Below are 14,074 nucleotides of genomic sequence, written 5' to 3'. Positions count from 1 at the left end.
GGCCATGCTGGAACCTAAGTTGCAAGATGAAGTTCTCTAGTTTTTCCTCTACCTTTTTCAGTGTCTCCCTGTAGCCACCACAGTTGTGAATGTGCCGAGTCTCACCTGATTCTAGCAAGCCTCAGAGTCTCAATGAAAGCTCACAGCAAACTACCTGGTTATCACTGCAGGTTATTCCAGGCCAAGGGCCCTTTACTTAGCAGTTGATGGGTCTTGTTAGTACCGGATTTCTTCATTCAAGGCAGCAGATTTCCTTATAGTCCAGTATGTACCTAGAAATTTTAATTAGGAGCTAGTGGCTGAGAAGGGTGTTTTATAACTCTGACTGGTGGCCTTGCTGGTATCCAAAATACAAGACAAAGTCCTGTTTACTCTTTCTGTCTTCTTAAGTAGATGGAAGTGGTCTCTTGAATCTGTGAGCTGTGCAGCCTCAGTTTGGAGGAGGGGTGGTATAAGAACTCTCTTAGCTGCCCCAGCTTGTATCTTAGTAGGTAATGTGGCCCCCAAGTCCACTGGCTCTAAGCCCAGTTCAGCATGACACCTGGGAGTTGCTGTCCTTGTGACCTAGACTGTTTTAAGTTTCTTTAGGGCCCCAGAGCATTTTAGACTATGGTGGTGAAGCTTGCCAGAACTCAAGTTCCAATCACTGGGAGGGTGATTCCCCTCTGTCCAGGGCCAGTTGAAACACACCCTCTGTGGGCAGGCATCAGCTGAGTTCATTCCAGTTTTGCTTTCTGCTATGATGGGGCAGCACTGAGTTCAATGCTCACAATCCCAGTGCTCTCCCTCTCCCAAGTGTACAGATTCTGTCTACATAGCATGTGACTACTGCCAGGGCATGAGTGAGGAGTGGCATTAGTGATTCAAGACTGTCTTTCCTACCCTGTTTTAGTGCCTCTTTGTGTACTGCAGGGTTAAAACCAGGTACTGTGAGTGCTCGCCTTTATTCTTATGAAGGTTTTTGTTTGTTTTTTAATAGATAGTTGTTATATTGGTGTCCTTCCAGGGGAAATGATCACTGGAGCCTTCTATTTAGCCATCTTGCTCTGTCCTCTGTTGGTTTTCTACTATGGCATTGTGCTCATGTTCTCAGCTTGGTAAAATTTCATATTAGATTTGTAAAGTATATTCAGCTAAATTCAGTATGTAGAATAATTAGTTATTTTTACTACTTTGAGCTATATATTCTTATTACAACCAAGGCATTTTACCAGAGCAAGGCATAGAAGAGTCATTCAAAAAAGCAACACTAGGAAAAGCAACACTAGGAAAAGCAACACTGGGAAGATATGGGAGCTGTGGCCTTGAAAATTTATGCTTATGGAAAAACTGGGAAAGTATAGGTGAAGGACAAAAAGAATGTTATAATTTATGTAGCCAATATTTGACAACTTCTCATAACAAAAATTTAACTGTGAAAGGAGATGAAGAACATAGAATATTTCTGAAGAAGCCTCAGTTTCTGCCAGCTACTCCTACAGAACCGTGTATTCCTGTGAGTAAATATCAACATCAATTTTTGGAATCTGTCTTTTGTAATAAAAATCAGATAAATTTTAGCCATGACTCAAATATTAGTAAACATCAGAATACTCATTTTGTAGAAAACTATTACAAATGTAATGAATGTGAGAAAGTGTTTTATCAATCCTCAAAGTATCCATATTCAAGAAAAGCCTTACAACCCTAATGAATGTGGTGAAACTTCTGACCCATCCTCAAAACTTACTCAACATCGAAGAACTTATATTGGAGAGAGCTCACAAAGATGTAATAAAAAATGTATAATAGTCTTTAGTCAGTCACATCTGAAGAGACATAAGATAATTAACACTGGAGAGAAATCAGTAAAATGTAAAGAACGTGGCAAAGCTTTTACCAGGGGCTTACAACTTGGACATCAGAAAATTCATACTGGAGAGAAACCTTACAAATGTGAAAAATGTGACAAAGCCTTTAAGAAGAGCTCACACCTTGCTCAACATCAGAGAATCCATACTGGAAAGAAACCTATCAAGTGTAAGGACTGTGGCAAAGCTTTTAACAGAGGCTCGTACCTTACTTAACATCAGAGAATCCATACTGGAGAGAAAGCCTTCAAATGTAAAGAATGTGGCAAAGCCTTTAATAGAAGCTCATACATTACTCAGCATCAGAGAATTCACACTGGAGGGAAACCTTTCAAGTGTCAAAAAATGTGGCAAAGCTTTTAACAGAGCTTCACACCTTACTCAACATCAGAGAATACATACTGGAGAGAAACACTTCACACATAAAGAATGTGGCAAAGCCTTTAACAGGGGCTCACACCTTACTCGACATCAGAGAATCCACACTGGAGAGAAGTCTTTCAAATGTAAAGAATGCAGCAAAGCTTTTATCTAGGGCTCACACCTTACTCAACATCAGAGAATCTACACTGGAGAGAAATTCTTCAAATGTAAAGAATGTGGCAAAGCTTTTACCAGGAGCTCACACCTTTCTCAATATCAGAGAATTCATACTGGAAAGAAACCTTTCAAATGTGAAGAATGTGGCAAAGCTTTTAACAGACACTCAACCCATACTCAACATCAAATAATTCATACCAGATAGAAACTCTTCAAGTGTAAAGAATGTGCCAAAACCCTAAACTGGTGCTCACACCTTACTCAACAATTCTATCTTTTATACAATAAATTACGGTTAACTATAGTTGTCCTATTGTGTTACGAAACACTAGATCTTATTTCTTCTATTTTTCTTAATGTTTAATTAAAATATTATTTCAGGCTGGACATGGTGGCTGATGCCTGTAATCCCAGCACTTTGGGTCAGTGAGGGAGGATCACTTGAGCTCAGTACATTGAGTCTGCCCTCAGCTATGATTACGCCACAGCACTTGAGCTGAGGACAGAATGAGACCCTGTCTTTAGAAAAAAATAGGCTGGGTGTGGTGGCTCACACCTGTAATCCCAGCACTTTGGGAGGCCTAGGCAGGAGAATCTCATGAGCGCAGGAGTTTGAGACAAGCCCATGCAACATAATGAGACCCCATCTATACACAAAATTTAAAAATTAGTTGGGCATGGTGGTGTGCAGCTGTGGTCCCAGATACTTGGTAGCCTGAGGTGGGAAGACTACTTGAGCCTAGGAGGTAGAATCTGCAGTAAGCCATGATCATGTTACTTCACTCCAGCCATGGTGATAGAATAAGATCTGTCTCAAAGAAACCAAAAAAATAAAATATTTGCTTATTTTTTGAAAAAAATGCACAACATTGAGAAATACGGAAGTTATTTTAAAAGTTTTTTATTCTCTTCTAAATGCATTTTCTAAAATATACAAAAAATTAGTAAAAAAAAAAAAATGACATAACTGACCTCACATGCATTAAGTGAAATAAACCAGACACAAAACATAATACAGTGTATCATCCCATTTATACAAAATAGTAATCATACCACAATAATAAAGAGGTAATAAAAATGGACCAGGCATGGTGGCTCACACGTTTAATTCTAGCACTTTGGGAGGCTGAGGCAGGTGGATTGCCTGAGGTTAGGAGTTCGAGAGCAGCCTGGCCAACATGGTGAAACCATGTCTCTACTAAAAACAAAATTAGCCAGGTGCAGTGGTGGGCGCCTGTAATCCCAGGTACTCAGGAAGCTGAGTCAGGAGAATCTATTGAACCCGCGAGGCAGGCAGAGGTTGCAGTGAGCTGAGATCGCACCACTGCACTCAAGCCTGCATGACAGAGACTCCATCTCAAAAACGAAACCAAACCAAACAATAAAGGTGATAAAATGGAATGTCCATAAAAGGGAAATCAGTAATGATTGTCTAGTCCTGATAGTGGAAATATTTTAAAGTTATACCATGGCTATAGTTGCATAATTATAAATATACCAGAAACTTTGTATTGAGTATGATGTTATGCATATTTCATCATAACTTTTTTTTAAAAAATAAGCATGCCATAAAATAGCAAGGTGGTTAAATTGCTTGCTTGAAAACAATGTGAAAATGCAATCAATTTTTGCTCATTTCAAGGTTTTTGATTAGGTGTTTCTGAATTTGTCCGTTAGGTCTAGTTGGTATATTAAAGTCAGCAGTTCACATTGAGAATTTTCTTCTACTACCATTCTGCCATTTGTGCTTCATATATTGGGGTCTTTGTTAGGTACATGCATATTTAAAACTATTTTATCTTCTTGATAGATTTATAATTTTTTAACATAAAATTTCCTATGTCAATTAATTATAGCAATGTTGTCTTAATGCCTATCTTGTCTAAGGGTAACCACCCCAGCTTATTTTGCTTACTATTTGTGTGGAATCTTTTTACCCATCCTTTCACTTTCAACCCATTTGTGAGTTTAGGACTAAAGAGATTCTCCTATAGATAACATAAAGTTAGTTCAGGTTTTTGTTTATTTTTAAACCATCTGCCAATCTTTGCATTGTAATTGTAGATGTTAATTTCTATTTAAACTATTTATAAGGAAGGGCACACTTCTGCCATTTTTCTAGTTGTTTTCTAAAGTCTTGTATATTTTTGTTAATTAACTCTTATATTACTGACATCTTTAATGTTCTAGTATTTTTCCAAAACAGTTTTGATTCTCTTCTCATTTCCTCTTTCACTTCTTTCTTTAGTTGTATTTTTAGTGGCTACCTTAAGGATGACAATTAATCTCATCACTGTGTAACTGTACTTTAAATTAATACTGCTCATAATTCAGTTTTATTTTACAAGCTGTTTCAATAGAGATCTGCTCCTCCAATGTTATGTTGTTTTGTCACATATTACATCTTTATGCATTGTATGACATTAACAAAAATTTATAATTATTTTATGCATTAGTATTTTAAATTACATGTAAAAAAGAACAATAGATAAAAGTTACAAAATATTCTTTAATAGTGGCATTTATATTTTGCCATGTACTCATTTTTACTGGCATTCTTTATTTTTTCATATGGCCTTGCATTATTACCTAGTTTGTCATTTCATTTCAACCCAAAAGATAACCTTTGTCATTTAATGCATACCAGGTCTACTAGTGACAAGCTGTTAAATTTGTTTTAATCTATATAGCTCTTAGTGTCTTCAAAGGTCTTCAAGGATGTCCTTCATCTTTGAAGAGCAGTTTTGCTGAAAATAGAGTTCTTTGTTGGCTTTTTTTTTTTGTTTCTACACTTTAAATATATTGTCCTATCATATTCTGGACTCCGTAGTTTTTAGTGAGAAATTATATTCTGGACTCTAGTTTTTAGTGAGTTGTTAATGTCAGTGTAGATGCATTGCAAATAGTAGTCTTTTCTCCATAACTTTCTTCAAAGTTGTCTCTTTAGCTTTTGAAAGTTTTATTGTAATTTGTCTTGGTGTAGAGTTCTTTGAGTTTATACTATGAATTCAATGAGATTTTGGAATGTGTAGATTCACGTATTTCATCATGCTTGGGAACTTTTTAGCCATTATTTCTTCAGATGTTCTTTCTGCCCCATTTTATCTTTCTCCCTTCTTTCGGGAGTTTTCATAATGCTTGTAATGGCACATTTTATAGTATCCCATTGTTATCTTAGGCTCTGTTCATCTTTATTCATTATTTTTTATTTCTGCTAGTTGGGATAATACGAATTGAAGTGACCTCAAGCTTGCTGGTTGTGTCTTTCGTCTACTTAAATCTTTTGTTGAACCTTTGTGGTGAATTTTTTATTTTAGTTATCTTAATTTTCAACTTTAGAGTTTGGCTTCAGTTTATAATCTCTATCTCTATTAATATTTTCTATTTGATGAGACACTATTCTTCTGAAATGTTTTTCCTTTTGATGTTATTTATCTTTGCAGCACATTTAAGACAGGTAATTTAAAGACTTTTTCTAGATTTTTCAATGCCTACGATTCCTCTAGGACTGTTTCTGTTAATATCTGTTATCTTATTAGTGGGCCATTATTTTTTCATTAATTTATTTGCACGCTTTGTATTTCATTGCTGTTGCTGAAAACTAGACTTTTTCTATTACAACAACCCTGAAATAATATTCTCTCTCATCCCGTTGGGTTTTTTTGTTGCTTATTGTAAATTTTACTTGTTTGTTTGGTGAGTTTTCAAAATTATTTTTAAAATATCATCCTTTTGTCGTGTTTAGCAATAAAAATCTCTGCTTTATTAGCTTCATGTGAGCTAGCTATTTGACAGAGATTTTCTCAAATGCCTGCTCACATCAAATATAAATCTACTAGTTCTTGCAGTTGGGTTTACTTAGCCAGAAAGATTACAACTTTGCTGTTTTCTTTTCTTCCTGCTTGTGCAGTGCTTGGAGGTAAAGCAGACATGAGAGATAACAGCTTCGTAGGTCTTTGTGAGCATTTGCCTGTCCCTTGATTGACCCTGAACATGCTTATGGGCTTCTGGATTCTCAGGAATATGTGGATAATTTTCAAAGCCCGAATCCCCCAGGCACCTCACTCCTCAGTCTTTTCTCTTAGATATTCTACATGACTTTTGCTTGCCGCACTGATATTCTTTCTCCAAGGTGTGATGAGTAGTTAATTAGCCCTTAACTATTTTTGCCAAACATTAGGTTATTAATTTAGAATTGTTTATTTTTAATGTAGGTGTTTACTGCTGTGAATTTCTCTCAGTAGTTTGCTGCATCTCATGTTTTGATTTTTTTTGAGACAAGTTCACACTCTGACACCCAGGAATGAGTGCAGTGGTTTGATCAGGGGTCTCAGAAGCCTTGACCGTGTAGGCTCAAGTGAACTTGCTGCCTCAGCCTCACAAGTAGCCAGAGCTACAGGCAGGTGGTACAATGCCTGGCTAATTTTTGAAATTTTTTTGTGAAGATGGGTTCTCATTATGTTGCCCAGGCAGGTCTCAAACTCTGGGGCTCAGTCCTCCCACTGCTGCCTCCTAAAATGCTTAAATTACAGGCATAAGTCACAGCACTCAGCCTTTATAAAACCTTTGATATTTTTTCTTTTATTCTGTTTTCCCATGTTTGTAACATGTTGTCCCAAATTACACAATAGTTCTATGGTAGTTGTGGCAGATTTGTGACATAAAATAGAGAAAACATAAGTTACATTTAAATTTGGGGTAAACAACAAATAACTTTTTAGTATAGCTATGCAATGTTTTTATATCTGTGTATAATATGTGTAAGCAATTACTGGAGTATATACAAATAACAATTCATCATTTACCTGAAATTCAAATATAACCAAGTGTGTTACATTTGTCAACCCTTGTTCATGGGAGCCACTGTTCTTTTCTCCAGACTCAGCATTAATGACCTGAAAACCTTCATTAGAGAAAAATAAAGTTTGATAATTAGCAGATACATTCTTTTGCGGTATGTAGTAGTCATTAGAGAGGGTGTGGCATGAATTAAAGTGTGTGATCTGGATACCTTATGGGGAGAAAAAAATAGAATTCTTACGTATGTTGTTTTATCTAATTGTATTACCTCTTTCTGTGATATAACTTTTAATACATACAGTATATTTAGTAAAAGTGATTTCTACGTAAGTAGTAAGTAGTTATTTGTATATTAACTGTCCATGTTTATTTTCTGGAACTAGACTGCAGTATTTAATATATGGAGATTATTATGGCTTTAATCTGATACTATCCTGGAGCTTCTTTTAGGTTTAACATGATAAAGAACCATATCATGTTGATGGCATCAGTATATTTTGGTGGCAACTATCCATTGTTTGGTTCTGGACATTGAGATAAATGTGTACTTATACTAGATTATGTGTTAGGAGAAAAAATAAAAACTGATATATAAACTATGCAATTTCCTTTTTGTAAACTCATCCATATCAGGTGGTTTAAAATTGGTTAGCAGTTTTCTAGCTCAGATGTTAATTTCTGAGTATGAGGTAAAAAATACTGTCAAATCATCTTCATTGCCTTGCACATTTATATTTGTGGTTTGTGCATTAGTACCATCACAACTCACTGGCTCACTATAGCCTCAAGATCCTATGCTCAAGTGATCCTTCCATGTCAGCTTCCCATGTAACTGGGACCACAGGTACGTGCCACCATGCCTAGCTAATTTCTTTCTTATTTTTGATAGACACAGGGTGTCACTGTGTTGCTCAAGCTAATTTCAAACTGTTTATCTGAAGCAATGTCCCTGCCTCAGCCTCTCAAAGCGGTGGAATTATAGGCATGAGCCAGAGCTCTATTATTCTAAGCTGCGGGCTGAATTAGTTGGATACAATAGTGATGACTGTATTCAGGGCAAAGAAGAAAGTAATTGCAGAATTATTCAATAAAATTTTATGAAGGGTTCTCATACAGAGATATCATGATTAAGAGATGGAGAATTATCTTTACTATTAGTGACCTTGGTGTTTTTCCAAGGCTTGGAAAGGCATCTTTCCATGGAAGGGTATCTTCCATGGAAGGGTATCTCTGTATAAAGTGAAGCATCAAGAAAATTATCACTTAATGCAAATTCATGGATCCCATAAAGTAGAAAAAGGTAGTCCATGTACTTGTAGCATTGAAAACTGGATTTTAGCAATTTCCTCCTGAGATGAAATAAAGCTTTCATGAGATTTCTCTGGGATAAAAACAAAACTTGAACAGAGCCAGAATTATTTTAAGGGATTCGTTTAATAGGACTTGTGGTAAGTGGAATAATGCCATGCAAAGGTCCCCATGTCTAACCACCAGGTTCTAGGCATGTATTATGGTATATGAGAAATGGGAATTCAGGCTGCAGATGATATCAAGGTTGATAACCAGCTGACTCTAAAACAAAAACATTAACTTGAATTACAGATTTGGGCCTAATGTAATTATAAGCATTCTTAAAAGTGAAAGAAATAATAAGAGAAACTGAGTGCTGTGATGTGAGTCAGTTAAACTTTTTTTTCAACTTTTTCTTTAGGTGATTATTTTCCCTTAACATAAAATTTACTTTAGCTCAACTATACAAACATGTGAGTTATTGTTATGTAACCATCACTCTTCATTAAGAAATGCTTTGTAAAAAGTGAGCCAGTTTTTCATATACATTCTTCAAAATACATTCTCAACATTATACATCAAATTATATATACATACATGCACACATACACTATATATATCAAGGATTTATATGATAGGATTAATTAAGAAAAAAATTAGTGGAATAAAAATAATGTTTATGATAATTTTGGCCATAGAATATATAATACAGATGATGTGAAGTACAAAATGTTTTTTATACTTCATATTTTGATGTACAAAGTATGTTTGTCTTTGTAATTCAGATGATTACTTTGCACTTGTGTTCCCATGAAAAATGCCTTTCATTTCTAAGCTGGTATTGGCATCTCAGCCAACACTTTGCTCCTTCTTTTCTGCGTCTTCTCCTTTTCTGCTTTTTCTGGATCTCAGGCCAGAGCGCACTTACCTACCAGTCTGTCATGTGGCCCTCATCCACATGGTGGTCCTTCTCACCATGGTGTTCTTGTCTCCACAGCTCTTTGAATCACTGAATTTTCAGAATGACTTCAAATATGAGGCATCTTTCTACCTGAGGAGGGTGATCAGGGTCCTCTCCATTTGTACCACCTGCCTCCTGGGCATGCTGCAGGTCGTCAACATCAGCCCCAGCATTTCCTGGTTGGTGAGGTTTAAATGGAAATCCACAATTTTTACCTTCCATTTGTTCTCATGGTCTCTCAGTTTTCCTGTTAGTAGTAGCCTGATCTTTTACACTGTGGCTTCTTCCAATGTGACCCAGATCAATTTGCATGTCAGTAAATACTGTTCACTTTTCCCAATAAACTCCATAATCAGAGGACTGTTTTTCACTCTGTCATTATTCAGAGATGTTTTTCTTAAACAAATAATGCTGTTCTCAAGTGTCTACATGATGACTCTCATTCAGGAACTACAGGAGATCCTGGTACCTTCACAGCCCCAGCCTCTACCTAAGGATCTTTGCAGAGGCAAGAGCCATCAGCACATCCTGCTGCCGGTGAGTTTCTCGGTGGGCATGTACAAGATGGACTTCATCATCTCAACCTCCTCAACGTTGCCATGGGCATATGACCGTGGTGTCTAGAGGCTAGTGGGCAGTGTCTATACCATTGTCAGGTTTTTGGTGCTACTGAGATCTGATAAAAGGGTAATCAATGTGATGTAAACTATAAGACAAATGTTTAAAAGGTTAATTGTATGAATCCTGTCATGAGTTAAATTATTCAGAGTGTTCATTATAGAGAATAATCCAAAGTTAAAATAATTGGATAATTTATTTGTATGTAGGATAAAAGTAGTAGGAGATTGCTTCTTGAAGATTTAAAATTATATTGAGTGTAATTATTTGCATTAAAATAATTTTAAATGTTTTGAATAGCAAGTATTGATATAATTAAACTTTCGAATAACTTAGTGCTTTGCCTTTATTCCTAATGTTTATATGGAAGCATGTGGTCAATGTTTGATGCATTACAGCTCTGAGCGGTCCTTCTGTATTAGGTGGTCATCATTTATGTACTTCTCCATAAAAGATTAAGGACCTGGAAATGTAAGATACATGAAGAAAATCTAAGTGGAGAGGCTGTTTGTGGTTAAGTGATAACAGTGTTGTAAGCGATGCATGAGGTAGGTGTTCAGTGCATATCCTCTGCATTTTATTAATAAACACTGTAAAATTTAGAAGAAAATTGTTTCACCAAATGCACATAAAACTAATAAAATAGAGTGGATTTTGATATGTCTCAGATTATTTGTAAACTTTATTTGTTTTAACAAATAAAAAATATTTTTAATATGTTAAGGGTCTTGTGCATTGATTGAAGTGTCATCCTGCTGTCAACATTAACTTATTCTACCTTACTCAGGCTTGTAGGTAAAACATGGTAAGACTATACCATTAAGTAATATGGTGGAATAACATCTGTAGTGATTCTTTTTCCCAGTGGCCTTATACTTCAAATAATTTAGAGAATATTGTTCCCACGTGTTACATTTTTATTTATTTTGTAACTGTGAAGTTATTGTGATGGTTATACTGAAGATTATATAGGAGTATAATCAAAAGCCCTACATTTCTGAATTCTGAATAACTATTTAGAAAATTCAGCCTACATTTTTTTGAACATGTTATCTCTGGTTCTACAAACACAAAATTTTAGTTTTAATTTACATGGTGTAAAATTTCTAAATATATTACTCTAAAGATAAACTTCAGATATAAAAGAATTGGAGAAGTAATTGTTTTTATGTGAGTGTGGAGCTATTCTGAGTAGGAAAATATATCAGAACAAAGCAGATGATTTCATGAGTGTTTATGATATACTAGCAAACTAAAACCTCACAGATTCTGAAAGCAAATTTATTTCCTCTGCTTTCCATTCATCTCTAAAATCTTGTGGTTCAGAATCTCCCCATCCAAACCCTTTGTTCTAGCTTGCCTTCTATTCATGCTAGACCTAATATACAATTTTCTTCTGTCAAAGTTCATGAAGTATTCTTTATGTGACCTGCCTAATGATTATAGCTCTTTCGGTAAAATGTAATGGTGCTAACTAAATAATTTGAAGATCTGAGTAATTTTGCAGTGAGTATATTGTTAAATTTTATTATTTAATTAGTATATTTAATCTTTTCAATTAGAGAATTCTATTTAAGCAAAATGTTTTTATTACTGTTTCTTTCATGTTTTATAGTAGACATATTTGATATAATTATTGAATTTATTGAGCCATGCTTTTAAGGTAAAAACTCGGGAGGCTTCATAAGCCATGGGATTTTCTTGCCATTTGTATGAAGTAAACAAACACAAGACGGTGCTAGGTGTGTAACAAATGCTTTACAATTATCAGGAAATATTTCTGCTCGAGTGAGTTTGTATCTTCATATAAGAGATTAAAAACACCCAGAGTGAAGAAGTGGCATTGGTTTTGCATGGTGAGAGAGGAAATCTGTAGTCAGGCTGCACAACTAACTCTAAATTTAGACAGATAAATTCTGCTTCTTTTATTTTCTAATTATCTTCAGTTTTTCTTTCACTGTCTTTTTATCTTCACCCCCAAATACATATGCATTACAGCCCTTCTCTTTCTTTGCCTGTCTTATGGCAACATCTTGCTCACTGTTCTCCCCACCCCATGTTATTTCACACAGTACTCTGCAGGTTCTGAGGACAAGTTAGAATTATTTTTAATGTGCCTAAAAATTCTTTGTAGCTGGAGAATTTGAGGTCATTTATAGATTACAAATGCAACATTCTTGTCACTTAATTTAGATAAGATAACGCAGTATCCATGGATTAGATCGTTGGACAGATAGCATTGTTAATCATTATTATATTATAACACAAAGAATGGTAAATATCAAATTAGACTAAGTGAAGTATTAATACCAGTGGGCCATGTATTATTAGTGCTACATAAGAAAACAAATCAAAATTTGGATATCCCATTAGAGACATGTCTTAGAAATAAAATTGTATTAAGGAGAGTTAGTGGTAAGTAAAATATTTTAAATTCAAATTTCTATGAAATATTTATCCCACCGCTTATGTTTCCATGCAGAATCTTCTGTTGTTGAGTGGGTATAATAAGTTTTGGACAAAAATAAAATAACCTTTGTGGGTTTAAAATTTGGAATAATCTTTTTTGCGGATTCGTATTGCCATCTTGGGAAATTTCTCACTCATATTATTATAACTTCTTTTATTTGAATGGGCACAGTTACAGTCCACAGTTTTTATTCTCAGACACCTAATTACAGCCAAATTCTAGGTCATTCTCTTTAGAGAAATCTCAAAGACAATGGCAGGCTTTTGGATTAAAACATTTTCTCAGTGATTTTGGAAGCAAACTTGTTTTCAGTGTTTACAGAAGGGCCAGAGGTGAAACCATTAGCAGCACCTGCCTTTTTAGTGTCTTCTATACCAGGAATTCCAGGTACCTGGAGCTCAAAGTAAAAGCTCTAAAGTACATAGGATTCTCCCAGGCACTGTGCTGGTTCTTGCACATGCTGGTAAATATCTGAGTTTCTATGCTTATGACTGACAAATGAAATGACAAAAACATCACAAAAACTATATATTTTGATACTACTCTGCTAAGCTTATGAATAAGACACAGACTGATTATTTGAAACACTACCTTTTCATGTTTCTACATTTTTTAAATTGACAGATAAAATTATATGTATTGTCATGTAAAATGTGGTTTAAAGCATGCATACATTGTGTAATATTAAATTCTGGCTAATTAACAAGTGCTTTACCTCATATAGTTATCATTTTTGTGATGGAGAACACTTAACATTGACTATATCAGTATTTTTAAAACATAACAGTATGTCATCATTAACTATAGTCACCAGGCTTTACAACAGATTTTTTTAACTTATTCCTTTAATCTAACTAATTATATATTCTTTGAAAGACATCTACCCAATCCCCTTCCAAAATATCTTAGCCTCTCGTTCCACTATTTTAGTCTCTACTTCAATGCGATCAATTTTTTAAAATTCCACATATGAGCAAAATCATGAGGTATTTGTCTTTCTGTGTCTGCATTATTTCAATTAACATAATCTCCTTCATGTTCATCCATGTAATTGAAAATGACAGTATTTTCTATTTTAAGGCTGAATAATAATCCATTCGTACAGAATGGATGTATGCCACATGTTCTTTATCATTTTATTTGATAATAAACCCTGAGTTTGATTTTATATCTTGGCTATTGTGAATAGTGCTGCAATAAACATAACAGCACAGATGTCTCTTTCACATACTTGATTTTTTTGATATGTGCCCAATAATGATATTGCTGTATCATATGATAGTTCAGCTTTTAATGTTTGAGAAATCTCCATACTGTTTTGTATAATGGCTACGCTGATTTACATTCAGTGCGCAAGCATTCCCTTTGCTCCACATCTTTGCCAATAATTATTTTTTTGGCTTTTTATTAATAGTCATTCTAACAGTAGTGAGTTGTTATCTAATAGAGGTTTAGATTAGTCCTAACCTTAGATTAGCCTTAACCTTAGATTAGCCTTATGATAAGTTACCTCGCATTTTTTTCATATATTTTTTACCATTTGTA

At 34.9% G+C, this 14,074-nt stretch overlaps 3 pseudogenes; all 3 read left to right on the top strand.

The window, feature by feature from the left end:
* ZNF519P2 (zinc finger protein 519 pseudogene 2) lies at nt 1,178-2,714 on the top strand (annotated as a pseudogene).
* VN1R61P (vomeronasal 1 receptor 61 pseudogene) lies at nt 9,291-10,146 on the top strand (annotated as a pseudogene).
* Nucleotides 12,638-13,136, top strand: VN1R60P (vomeronasal 1 receptor 60 pseudogene; annotated as a pseudogene).

Source organism: Homo sapiens, chromosome 15 (assembly GCF_000001405.40).
Source record: "Homo sapiens chromosome 15, GRCh38.p14 Primary Assembly".
NCBI classification, from domain to species: domain Eukaryota; kingdom Metazoa; phylum Chordata; class Mammalia; order Primates; family Hominidae; genus Homo; species Homo sapiens.
Note: the sequence above shows the minus strand (reverse complement) of the source record. Positions and strands in the feature narration are given on the sequence as shown.